This window comes from Homo sapiens, chromosome 1 (assembly GCF_000001405.40).
Source record: "Homo sapiens chromosome 1, GRCh38.p14 Primary Assembly".
Lineage (NCBI taxonomy): Eukaryota > Metazoa > Chordata > Mammalia > Primates > Hominidae > Homo > Homo sapiens.
In genome coordinates this window covers 94,242,010-94,255,318 of record NC_000001.11, presented here as the reverse complement: position 1 = coordinate 94,255,318, position 13,309 = coordinate 94,242,010, and the positions used below count along the sequence as shown (strand labels likewise).

General features: G+C 40.6%; 1 protein-coding gene and 1 long non-coding RNA gene across 9 annotated transcripts in view, besides 2 other annotated features; one reads left to right on the top strand and one right to left on the bottom strand.

Moving 5' to 3' along the window:
- ARHGAP29-AS1 (ARHGAP29 antisense RNA 1) overlaps positions 1-7,451 on the bottom strand; it is an 86,939-nt gene extending 79,488 nt beyond the window's left edge. The window contains exons 1-3 of one of the 4 annotated variants that reach the window (XR_001738153.3): positions 7,185-7,451; positions 5,800-5,906; positions 4,775-4,940 (exon numbers count right to left, since the gene is read on the bottom strand). This is a non-coding gene — a long non-coding RNA (ARHGAP29 antisense RNA 1). The remainder of the gene's footprint in view (positions 1-4,774; positions 4,941-5,799; positions 5,907-7,184) is intronic. The other 3 variants (XR_001738152.3, XR_002958338.2, XR_001738151.3) reach the window with 3 other exon arrangements.
- The window catches only part of ARHGAP29 (Rho GTPase activating protein 29), a 145,688-nt gene that overhangs the window by 59,274 nt on the left and 73,105 nt on the right, over positions 1-13,309 (top strand). For 2 of the 5 annotated variants that reach the window (NM_001328665.2, NM_001328664.2), the window contains exon 1: positions 7,573-7,754. The exons of the other annotated variants lie outside the window; for them this stretch is intronic. In NM_001328665.2, the coding sequence (NP_001315594.1) occupies positions 7,742-7,754 (13 nt within the window). In that variant the 5' untranslated portion in view covers positions 7,573-7,741. Of the gene's footprint in view, positions 1-7,572; positions 7,755-13,309 lie in introns of those variants that run through there. 5 annotated transcript variants of the gene reach the window in all.
- Positions 7,372-7,581: a silencer, noted in NCBI's record as "silent region_1095". NCBI's record gives its function as "represses an Ori minimal core promoter by ATAC-STARR-seq in GM12878 lymphoblastoid cells {active_cell/tissue: GM12878}" and the evidence as "EXISTENCE:reporter gene assay evidence [ECO:0000049][PMID:35858748]".
- Positions 7,602-7,691: a silencer, noted in NCBI's record as "silent region_1094". NCBI's record gives its function as "represses an Ori minimal core promoter by ATAC-STARR-seq in GM12878 lymphoblastoid cells {active_cell/tissue: GM12878}" and the evidence as "EXISTENCE:reporter gene assay evidence [ECO:0000049][PMID:35858748]".

Sequence of the window (13,309 nt, the reverse complement as noted above, 5' to 3'; positions counted from 1 at the left end):
GGTTTCTTTTGAGGACTCTCTCAACTTGTAGATAGATGGCCATCACTCCCTGTCTTCACATGGTCTTCCCTCTGTGTGTGTTGGCATCCTAATCACCTCTTCTTGTAAAGACACTTGTCATTGGCTAGGGGCTGCATACACTAATGACCTCATTTTAATTGAAGTACCCCATTTGAAGCCCCTATGTCCAATATAGTTACATTCTGAGGTACTGGGTGTTAGGACTTTAACATATGAATTTGGTGGCGTGGGGGTGGCAAACACAGTTCAACCTATAACACATTGTTAGATAAATCAGTAGTCTACTTTGTTCTCAAGAAATTTTCCCTAAGCTGTGATCTTTATGTCCTTTGTCTTTTCCTCTTCCCCAAAGTCCTGTCCCCACTACCAAAAACCACCTTCAGTTTTTATAGCACTTCAAATACTGATTCATGAATACAACATTGTTATTGGCATCTGGCAGCTCCATTTCACTGACTTGGTGTTCAAGAAAAGCTGTGTAAATTAAAATGCCAGCTCTCTGTGAAACATCTTCACAGGGTCCTTCTGGAATCCACTGTCCCTTGACCCACATCCTATGCTTCTATTTTCTGACTCACAAAGCAACTCCAAGGTCTGGATAAGACCACTTGCCTACCGGTCTACTCATTTCCTTAGGTTCTGGTTTTTTAGTAGGCTTGTTTTACCTTTTAGTCATTTTTCCCGAATGGAGCTCTTTTTCACCTCCTCTTGGTTCTTAGTCATTACCCAGGAGGAAGTTACTAGAAGTCAGATTGCCAAGCAGTATTGCCTTCATGGACTCACAGAAGAGATCTAAAGCATTTCTCACCTTGCAGCCAATTCAGGCTAACTCCTAAGCAAGGCAACTTACTGTCTTCAAGCCTTGTTTGCCATTCTATCTGTTCTCCACCCTGAATCTACTAAGCTGATGGTTTCAGTGATGTTATGTAACAGGTATTTCATCAGTTTTTTGGCTAGTAGGATATATGGTTATGTCTGTGACCTCATATATTCTAGTACCATGTAGCTCCCAGACAAAATTTAATTGCATTCATGAGTATCCTAAACTAAATACGTCATCAAGAAGAATAAGGTAAAGGGTGTCAATCCATCAGTGACAATCAATATTTTTGAAGGTCTTTGAAGTGAAAGCATCTATAGACATTTCTAGATACCAATATTATAGAATTATTAACTCATAGTACTACTTTAACTTGTATTTGCCTTCTTCTAATTTAAGCCACACATTGTCAGCTATTGAGATAATTTCAGAATAAAATCATTTAAATCCAGGTATCTAAATGGTTGGATGATAATAGTTCTTCTAATACTATAAAATGTAATCTTATCTTGAGTGAATTTAAAAACAGGTTTCTAAACCAAATATTTTCCAACTTTTACAAGCAGTCACTTCTCAATTCTCTGGCAAGCATGGCACAGGCAGCCACCCCTATATAAATATGTAGTTAGAAAGATAAACACTCACTGAAGTCACTAAGTCACTAGTAGTAGCATTGTTTCTCAGAGAGTTCAGCAGTACTTGCTCAGTGGGTAGATAAAGAAATATTAGTAATGTTTCCATTGGGCTCTACTCCTTCCTAAAGCCAGCCAGCCTTCTCCCTTAGAGAAAAGCCTTAATGTGTGCATGTGCGTGCGTGCGTGCGTGCGTGCGTGCGTGCGTGTGTGTTCCAGATGCCTGCGGACAACTTCCTACTTCAAGAGCAACCCAAGCTCCTCACTGGTTGTATGTTAAGCCATCCATTGTTTAGGGCCATAATTTTTAGTACAATAAGTCAGACCTCCAAAATAATAGGAGTAAATTTGTAGAACAAATTTCATATTTAAACATGTTAGTATAGCTCAAATATTTACTCATTAAACTAAGAATGATCAAGGCAAGTGCTTTCATTTAATTTCATAGATTTACAGAGATTTTAAAACATTAGTGTAGAAAGGGCCCTGGTCTTGGTTCCAGTCTAGTCAGGCCAGTGACTAACTGTAAGCCCGGGGAAAGCTGGGCTGGGATTTCCTTATAAAATAAAAGAGAATGGATCGGGCGCAGTGGCTCACACCTGTAATTCCAGCACTTAGGGGGACCGAGATGGGCGGATCACTAGCTCAGGAGATCAAGACCATCCTGGCCAACACAGTGAAACCTGTCTCTACTAAACATACAAAAAATTAGCCGGCTGTGGTGGCATGCACCTGTAGTCCCAGCTACTCAGGAGGCTGAGGCAGGAGAATTGTTTGAACCCAGGAGGCAGAGATTGCAGTGAGCCGAGATCACGCCACTGCACTCCAGCCTGGGCAACAGACTGAGACTCTGTCTCAAAAAAAAAAATAAAGGAGAATGAAGTGAATAAGCTCTAAGATCCCTTTGATTCTGAAACTTATGAAATTTTATCAGAAAAACAGATCTCATTTTGTTATCTTACAGGTATTTTGTGAGGATCATAGAATACACAGGTTAAGGGGAGCAGTATTTGCTTTCTTATCTAGTCACCATTTGGTGAATCGATGAAAGAAAAAAACAATCGTGGAAAATGTTTACCCCTCTACTTTAAAGAAGGAAGGAAATAATTTAAGATTCTTTTTTTTTTTCATTAGAGAACTTCTATTAGAATACTTACGAGGCCATGGGGATTTGTTCCCTTTCCCTTACTCTAAAACTTTGGCTGATTGGGTTGTTTAGGTTGTTTGGCATGATCCGAACTTTTATTACTGATGTAAGTATACCCTTGGTAGCATGGGCAGGGTCAGGCTGCTGTTATCTACTAACCTGCCCCTGAATGTCAGCAGGTTTGCCTGAGGACTCCCTGGACTGCTTCTCCTGCCTCTACGGCACAGGGTGATCTTGGACAAACACCCCAGCCGACACTGTAACTATCCTTTATTTGCCTGTTGAAAGCAGCAGAGGCAAATGACCAGAGGCTTCACTTTTACTTCTATGAAAAAATTGTGTTCCTTGGAAGAAGCGTTCTTCCTTAAGTTACTAAGGCCTCTAAACTAGCAGAGCCCAGAAACCCAAGAAAGGGAACCAAGCTATAAGCAGAACTTTATAATGTAAGATTCTTGAGTTACTTATGGCTCTTTCAGATAAAGATTTGGTGAAGTCATGAAACTTGTCATATGTTAGTATATTGGTTACAAGCAGCTAAAGTAAAATCTTTCTCAAACAATGTAATATAGTTCTCTTATCTGATTAAAACTCTCAAAATGTTAACAAATTAATCTTTTCAAAAGATAACTCTAATGTTTGGATATATTGTATTGTTATTTTCTTTAAATCTTTCATTCGTTGATGAATTCCAAGTACTTTTCCAGGGGCTGGAAACACAGTGGTGAACAAAGCAGGCAGAGTCCCTTCTTTCATAGAACTTAACATACCCATACTAGTAAGGGGACATTTAAAAAATCTGTAAATAAACCAATAAATCTATATCAAGTCAGTAGAGGGATAAGTGCAAAAATTAAAGCAGAGTAAGGAAGAAAGGGAGTATCAAAAAGGGGGATGCTGTTTTTATGGAGGAGTCAAGGAACATGTCAATAATCTGGACCATTTGAGGAGAGACCAGAAGGCAGCAAGGAAAAGGGAGCAAGGAACAAGTCACGTAGATGTATGGGAAAAGCCAATTCCAGGCAGAGGAAACAGCAAAGGCAAAAGTCCTGAGGCAAAAGGGACTTTGGGGTACCTGGGGAAGAGCAAGAAGGACAGAGACGCAGAGGTAGAATAAGAGGAGTCATTTCCTAATATCTTTTTCTAAGAGAAGTATGGTCAAACTTAACTTCATGTTAATGTCAATTTCCATGAAGTCCAGCAGAAATTCTTCATTGAACTTCTTCTGTGTCTCAGCTTTTCATTTATAAAATGGGTATGATAGGCCAGGCACGGTGGCTCACGCCTGTAATCCCAGCACTTTGGGGGGCCGAGACCATCCTAGCTAACACGGTGAAACCCCGCCTCTATTAAAAATACAATAAATTAGCCGGGCGTGGTGGTGGGCACCTATAGTCCCAGCTACTGGGAGGCTGAGGCAGGAGAATGGCGTGAACCCGGGAGGTGGAGCTTGCAGTAAGCCAAGATTGCGCCACTGCACTCCAGCCTGGGTGACAGAGCAAGACTTCCTCTCAAAAAAAAAAAAAAAAATGGGTATGATAATAGCACTTCATAGGTTATTGTGAGGACTGAATAATTTATGAAATGTAAAGTATAATTAAAAGTGTATCACTAGCACAATAACTAGACATTTATAGTTTACTAGCACGGAGTAAAGTATAAATGGCTAGTTATTATTACTACCACCATAATCTTTTTATTCACAGTAGTATCAATAATTGCATTTTTAAGGCTAATATTATTTTTGGCACTGATCATTAATTATTAGGGGAGTTACCTTATACATATTACTAAGACATCAGGTAGGGTTATGGTATGTGATGGCTCAAGCACAGAGGTTTATATCATCAAAATCTTATAAGAAAGTTTAAAACACATTAAAAATTGGAGTTCGAAATGTAGTAACTTAATTTGGACGTAACATGAGTATGATATCTTCATCTATATACTCAAATATTTCTTTATTTTTGTCAATCTTAGTTTCCTGTCCTTATGACAGCACAGAATTCTTGGATGTTGGTAATGTCTTTCACATTCATTTCCAGCATGAGGTCTGAATTGATTCCTTGTTTCTCAATTACACCCATCATGGAATCAAGATTAATAACCTGCTTGGTGAGTTTTGTCCACCTTGGAATCTGGAGGCTTTGTACTCACTGTGGCCTGTTAGACTCTGAGTCGTTCCTTTTACATGCCCCAGCAGTGAGGTCAAGGACAGCCGCAGTCCAGGGAGTCCAAGGACTGCCTGCCTTGGGGCCACCCGTGCAGGCTTCCATTACTTCTTCCCCTCTCCCAGGCATTATTCATCATGGTTGAGGAGAATCTAAGGGTGGATTTAAAATTCCCTGATATATCCCCTGTGCTCAGAACAATGTCTGGCACATTAGAGGTATTCAGTGAATATTTGTGGAATCAATAAAAATACAACAGACATGATGGACAATGTGGGTCCCTCCTAAACAGACTGCTGTTGAAGTGTGGCAGAGGGGAAGAGCACCTGTCCACTCTGCTCCCCTGTGGGGCTGGGCTCCCACCTCCACCACCCACATGGAACATGCACACTTGTGATCAGTCCCTTCACCTCAGGGAACAGGATATCTGGGATAGGCTTTGCTTTAGACATGAGGTTTTTGTGACCATCATATTTGGTTCTACTAGATACAACCAAGTTGAGTGCAGTTTGTGATTTAAAAAAAAAATCACACTGGAAGAATTTTTACTGCTGGGCCTACCATTCATGCCCTCAACATCCCTCCAGAAAATTCTTAGTGGGGGCCCATTCTGTATTAGATACAGACCTAACTAATGTAGTACTGTGGAACTTTCAATCTAATTAGCATAAACACTGCCAAAAACCATGGCACCAAAACCATAAGTGCCACAAGAATAGTATCCTATGTACAATATGATGTCAAATAGGATGACTAATTTTCTTTCTTTTTTTTTTTTTGAGATGGAGTTTCACTCTTGTTGACCAGGCTAGAGTGCAATGGCACAATCTCAGCTCACCACAACCTCTGCCTCCTGGGTTCAAGCGATTCTCTTGCCTCCGCCTCCCAAGAGCTGGGACTACAGGCATGCGCCACCACACCTGGCTAATTTTTTGTATTTTTACTAGAGATGGGGTTTCTCCATGCTGGTTAGGCTGGTCTTGAACTCCCGACCTCAAGTGATCCACCCACCTCGGCCTCCCAAAGTGCTGGGATTGCAGGCGTGAGCCACCGCGCCCGGTGGATGACTAATTTTCACTGGAGCGAACAGAAAGGCTTCAGAGCAGAGGCAGGATTCTCTATCATGGAAGGAATGAAAAATATTTCAATAAGCAGAGTGGATATGTGTTAATATATACTGTAATTATAAAATAACAATACCACATCATCTGTCATACATGCTTCATTATTAATGCACTATCCAGTTATGCCTTTGATTTCTTGTTTGTGTGTCTGTTAGTCCTCGTCCTCCAAAACCATGATCATGAGCCACTTTAGTGAAGAAACATTTATAGGTAAAAAACCTAGTTGGCTTATAAGATGATTCAGGGCACATGCTGAGTCAGTGTTAGAGGATTTGGTGGAGATATTGCCCCTTATTTTTTAGTTTCTTTGCCAAACACAGCCATTTATCCCACATAGCAGATGTTTGACATTCACCCTTTCTCAGTTAATAATCATATTTACTTATAAAAATGACCCAGGTGTGGTAGCTCATGCCTCTAATCCCAGCACTTTGGGAGGATGAGGCAGGAGGATCCCTTGAGGCCAGGAGTTTGAGACCAGCCTGGGCAACATGGCGAAGACTCCATCTCCACAAAACATAAAAATAAACAACAGAGCTAGCTGGGTGTGGTGACACAAGCCTGTAGTCCCAGCTACTCAGGAGGCTGAGATGGGAGTATTCCTTTAGTCCAGGAGTTCAAGGCTTCAGTGAGCTATGACTGTGCCACTGCACTCCAGCCTGAGCACAGAGCAAGGCCCTGTCTCTCTCTAAAACAAAACAAAACAAAACAAAAACATCTTCCTTTGACAATGTTTTCAAATATATTTCTCCTAACGAAGAAGGGTGAAGAATATGACAGATATTTAATCTTTTTGAAAAATATTTAAAGGGAAGATGCCATTAAGTGATTTTTCCAAATTCCCTTTCCATAATTTTACCCATTAATCAGCTAATATTCATGGAGTGCTTATGTGTCAGCACAGGTGACAGGAAAGGTATTCTTAGTAGAGTTGGTAAGTGTTACTAATATATATTATATATAAATGCAGTGTTTTGTTTTCCTCCATACATGATATGATGTGTGATCCAACATCTAGATAAATGTTTTATTTTGGTTGCGGCTTCCTCCACCGTGTTGATCAGTCCCATGACTGAAGGAGCACTTAATGGTAAGAAGCAGGTAGCGTGGTTAGGGGACATGCGATCAACTAGCATCTACTGAGCACCTGCCATGTGTCGGGGACTGTATAATAGCTGATGTTTTGAGTAATTTATTTGGTTTGCTGAAAGTGACAATCAGTTGAAGACAGAAAAGAGTGGGGGGAGTTTTAAAGTTAAGCACAAAACGTACTTTTGTTTTGAATGGGAGAAGAAGGGTGGAGGAAGACGGCCGACAAAACAAGTTGAACACCTGAGTCTTGACTGGAAGGAATTCAAAGTGCCCACCTGAGAAATGTCTAATTAAACAAGGACAGAGAACCTGCTCCCTGCAGGAGGGTACAAAAAGTCACTTTTCCTCTAAGTCGCTCTGCCCGCCCTGCTGCAAGTCAAAAGGGCGACCGACGCGGCCGCGGTTGGGACAACTTCAGGCCGGGCGCAGCTGACCGCCGCGTTCTGCGCGCGAGCGAGCAGCCGCCCCAACCTGCCGCGGTCGCCGACCCCGCCCCCCGGGAGCGCGGGCCAGGCCAATGGGCTGGGCTCCAAGGGGCGGGGCAGGCGGCCGGCGCAGCCGTGGCGGTAGCTGCAAAGGCGGCGGCCGCTGTGGTGGTGGTGGTGGTGGTGTCTGTGGCTGCGGCTGCCACTTGGCCGGGCGTCTGCGGGCCGTGGGGGATGGGGGCGGCGAGCTCCAGCCCTCGGCGGTGGCGGCGGCCGTAGGTGTGGGGCGGCCGTCCGCGTCCGGGACGCGGGATGGAGCGCCGTGGTGAGTGTGAGGAGGTGGCGCTCGCTTCGGCCGCGGCGGTGGTGGCTCCGGGCTGGGGTCGCCCGCGCGGGCGCCGGCTAGTTGCCGTCCAGGGTCCGGCAGGGGCTAGGGGCGCGCCCGGCGAGGCAGGCGCGGACGAGCGAGAGGACGCGGGCGGGCGCTGCCGGTACGCCGCGGACCCCGGGTGCGCGCTCTGAGTTGTGTGACGCCGGCGGGCAGCAGGGGAGAAGCTGGCCGGGTGGACTTTCCTCCCCTTACAGGACTCCCCGAGCGTGTCTCAGCCCCGCTCCCTTTGCTAGCCACCAGCCCTCATCGCCTCACTGCGGAATTCAGGGGCTCCTTTACCCTTACCCCATTGGTTTTCTTCACCGGGTCTCAAGTCCGTCTTTCTTACTGGGGATGCTTTTTGGAAGTTTGGTGACGTTTTCTGAAATTTCAGTCTGACACATGCAAAGGCTGAGTAAAACAGACATCTCATGTTCCATATTTACTTTTTCTTATTGCACTTCACCTCACCTAGACCCTGGCTATTTATTACTTTGGGGGAGGGAGATCTAAGGTTGTAAAACACCGTCTTGCGCATTCTCACCGTGTGCCCCTTCTGGAGCGTCTCTGTCGTTCCCTCCCACCCTACTCCTCCCCTTCTCTCTCCCCACTCATTACTGCCTGGTCTCGCCCTTCCACCTTTTCCCAGCCATGGCTCTAGGGCAAGTCGTGTGCTCTGCAAAATAGGAAGGGACAAGCTGGGAGATTGCACCTACCACCTAGAGAGCGGACCCCTGTGCGTTTGTTTCACTAGGTGTCCCAGGACCCGGTCTGTGATAGAAACCCGGTGTTCCCAGGGAGGATCTTGCCTTGGTTTAAACAGAGCAGCCAAGGACGTTCCTCCCTTGTCTTTCAGCCCCTCTGATTTGTCCTAGTTTATCTCACCTTTTCACCACCACCACCCCTCTTTAAAAACCAAGGGTGGCGTTCCACATTGTTTTTTTTGGATCTTTGACATCCTCTGTTTTCTAAAGATGGATCTTTTTTGGGCGGGGGATGGAGGGGTTGGCGGGGGGAAGGGGAATGTTAGGAGATGTTTTATGAAAGTTCTAAGTACCTTTTTGTTCTACATTTACCTTTTTCTTTATTAATCTTTGGGAATTAGCTTCGCTTCCTCCTCATTCAGTTTGGGAGAGGAGATTCCCCTTTCAAGAAAAATACTTCAAAATTAGATATGAAAGTGAATATTCAGAATGAGTGAATCACAACAAAATTATGGGAGTCTTGGAGATTAGGTCCCTTTCTGTAGTGATTTCTTTACGCAGTTTGCCAGAAATGCTTATTTCAAAATGCCTCCTTGTTACAGGAACTGTGTAAGTAAGCAACCCTGATGCTTAAGCTTCATGAGCTTTACAGTATGTATACAGTTCTTGTCTGATGATTCTGAGAAGAGTTTAAGAGTGAACTTGAAGAAAATAGAATAGACCTGAGTAGAAAATGTTTTAGTCCCCAATTTGGCAGGAAATAGAACTTTGGCTGAGATGTAGAAAAGCGCTGCCCAAGAATGTATAGTGGTTGGTCATTACTGCTCCCCTTACCTCCTTAAAATAGTGTATCTACCTCAGTTGTAAGCACCTTCACTTCCTCACATGTAAAGGCTCTTGACCTAGGAACATGGGCTTTTATAGCCACTGCTCTTGGTCCCGGGGGTTAGTATAACCACATTGAACAAAGTTCATGCCCAGAAGTCACCCTAAAGAATTTTCATTCTCGTGTCACTTATTCATTCAGCATTCACTAAGAAAATTTAGTCTGATCCCATTTTGTGGTAGACAGTCCTGTAGAACCTTTGCATCTTCGGTAGCAATAGACAATATTGATGGGGCCCAAGGTATAATATCGTGAGTTTCCCAAGTATGTTGAATATCCTATGGGAAAGTAAAGGGATGCTTTATTTTTAGTGGAGGAAATGAAAGGCTTCTCGCAATTTCCCCCACACCTACACCACCACTGCATTCCTAGGCAACGAAATTCTTTTGTCATTTAAGATTAGGTTCATATTCTCTAGAATTTTATGTAAATGGAATCATACCAAAGATATACAGTGTGTGTGTGCCTGGCTTCTTTCATTTAGCTTAATGCTTTTGAGATTCATCTATGATTTTTTCCTATGTCATGGATATGTAATGTTAAATAGTATTCCATCGTAAGGCTGTACCACAGTTTGTTTATCTGTTGATGGAGTTTGGGTTGTTTTGTTTTTGACTATCATGAAAAAAATTGCTATGCATTTGTATACAAGTTTAGGGGTGAATATATGTTTTCATTTCTTTTGGATGCATACAAAAGGAGAATTACTGGGTTGTATGTTAAATGTACATTTCCTGTGTAAGAAACTGCCAGGCTGTTTCACAAAGTGATTGTATACCTTGTATGTAGAAGCATGTATTACAGTTACAGTTGCCCTACATCCTCACCAACACTTAGTATTTCAGTCTAGCTGAAATTAAAATTTCTTCTGACTATTCAGTGGTATCTCATAGAAGTTGAAATTTGCATTTCCCTGATACTAATGGTATTGAGCAATATTTCATGTGCTTATTGCCCAGTTGTGTATCTTCTTTTGTGCAGCATATGTTCACTTCATTACTCATTATTTTATTGGATTGTTGTTTTATTTTTATTGAATTGTAAGAGTTCCTGATATATTTGGTTACAAATTCTTTGTCAGATATTTTCTCCCAATTTGTGGCTTGTGTTTTATTTCAACACTGTCTCTCAAAGAGCAGAAGTTTTAAATTTTTTTGTTCAATTGTTTGTTGTTAGTGTATAGAAATAAAATTGATTATAGTGTATTAACTTTGTATTCTGTGACCTTGCTATATTCATTTATTAGATGTAGTAGCTTATAGGCTTCTTAAGATTTTTTTTTAAGTCCCCAACCCACCATCTCTGAGTATTTTACTTCTTTCTTTTTAAATGTGAATGCATTTTATTTCTTTCTCTTGTCTTACTGTACTGGCTAAGACCCTCAGTAACAATATTAATCCTGATCTTAAGGAGAAAACCTGTCGGTTTTTTTTGTAGATGCCCTTTATCAGATAGAAGAAATTATCTTCTATTCCTACGTTGTTGACTGTTTTAATCATGAATGGCCATGGAATTTTGTCAGATGCTTTTTCTGCATCTTTTGAGATGATCACATGGTTTTTTTCTAGTGAATGTTAAACTAAGCTTGCATTCCTTGGACAGACCCTTCTTGGGCATTATGTATTATCCTTTTTATATATTGTTGGATTTGACTTGCTAATACTGTGTTAAGAAATTTGTTTTTTGTGTGTGTTTTTGTTTTTTTTGTGTGTGGTTTTTTTTTTTGGTAATGTCTTTGTCTGGTTTTGGTATCAGGGTAATGCTGGCCTCATAGAATGAGTTGGGAAGTGTTCTTGTCTCCTGTATTTTCCAAGAGTTTGTATAGGATTATTTTATCTGGTTCAGTGAATTTTATCAGTGAAGCTCATGTAGATGTAGTTTTCTTTGTGGGAAATTTTAAATAATGAATTCAGTTATTTAATACATGTAGTGCTATTAACATTTTCTGTTTCTTGTGTCAGGGTTAGTAATCTGTGTCTTTCAAAGAATTTTTCCATTTCATCTGAGTTGTTAAGTTTATTGGCAAAGTTTTTTGTAACATTCCCTTGTATCCTTTTATCCTTGTGTCTGTAGGGTCTGTACTGATGTCGTTTCTTCCATTCATATTAGTGATTTGTGTTTTCTCTATTTCTCGATCAGCCTAGCTAGATATTTATCAATTTAATCTTTTCAAAGAACCAGCTTTTGGTTATATTGATTTTTTTCTGTTTTCTGTTTTCTAAATCACTGATTTCTGTTCTTATCATTATTTACTTCCTTCTGCTTACTTTGGGTATAATTTGCTCTTTGTTTTCTAGCTTCTTAAAGTGGAAGCTTAGATATTGACTTTAGACCCTTCTCTTTTACAATAAAGCATCTAAAACTGTGTATTTTATCTAACCATGACTTTTACTTTGTAATCTCCACATTTTGAAATGGGTTTTCATTTTCATTCAGTTCAAAATATATTAAAATTTCCCTTGTGGAAATTTGACCCATTGGTTATTTTAAAGTTATATTTTATAATTTACAAATATTTGGGGATTTCCTGACTATCTTTCTGTTACTAGTTTCAAATTTAATTTTGTTTTGATCAGAGGACATACACTGTGTGATTTCAGTCCTCTTAAGTTCATTGGGACTTCTTTTTATCCCATATATGGCCTATCTTATGAATATTCCATATACATTTGAAATGAATGCATATTCTGCTGTTTTTTGGTGGAATTTTCTGTAAATGTCTATCAGGTCAAGTTGATTGATAGTGCTATTCAAGTATTCTATGTCCTTAATGATCCTTAATGATTTTCTGTTATTCTATCAATTACTGAGAGAAGAGTGCTGAAATCTTAACTGTCATTGGGGATTTGTCTATTTTTTCCATACATTTCTCTCAGTTTTTTTCTCATACTCTGGACCTCTATTTTTGGTACAGATACCTTCAGGATTGTTGTCATTATGATGAAATGACTCACTTATCATTATGAAATGTTGCTTTTTATCCTTGGTAAAATTCTTTGATACCTATATTATAGAGCTACTTTGGCTTTCTTATGATTAATATTTGCATGGTGTGTCTTTTTCTGTTGTTTTACTTTCCATGTATCTGTGTCATTATATTTCAAGTCTGTGTTTTAATAGGAAAAATATAGTTGGGTCTTACTTTTTTACTCACTCTGAGAATCTCTGCCTTTTTATTGGGCTGTTTATATTATTTATATTTAATGTAATTATTGGTATGATTGGGTTTAAGTCTGTTACTTTGCTGTTTGTTTTTTTATTTGTTCCATTTGTTGTTTCCTTTTTCTTCTTGTCCTGCCTTTTTTTTTTTTTTGATTTTTTGAAATTCTATTTATGCCCACTATTGGCTTAATTAACTTTATCTCTGGAGATTTTAGTATATATTTTTAACTTACAGTATACCTTCAAATAGTATTACACTACTTTACCTATAATGTAAGAACCTTACTGTATACTTTCATTTCCTCCTCCTTTACGCTATTGTCATAGATTTTGCTTCTGTATATGTTATAAATGCCACAACATATTGTTACTACTTTGTTTTAAACATCAGCTTTTAAAAAAATTATAAAATGTGCCTGTTTTGAAGCTTTGTTGGGGTGTGGCTAGAGTATAGTTTTCACTAAAGCTAGGTTAGATGTACTATGAGGCATGCCCTGGGGTCTCCCTGGGGTGTTCAGTAGGTCTCTCTACTCTGGCTGATGAAAATGTGGAGTTCTTCCAGCCCTGTGGGAAACCTGGGAATCGTCCATCTATAGCTTTCTGGAAATTATTTGCCAATCCTTGTTGTGTTTTGCTGTATACATGTGCATCTTGGTGTTCAGCAAGATAATTAAGAAATTCCCTATGCAAATTTCTGGAGCTCTTTCTTTTTCTACATCCTTAGTCTCTGGTACTCTGTCCTACAGATTCTGGCAACT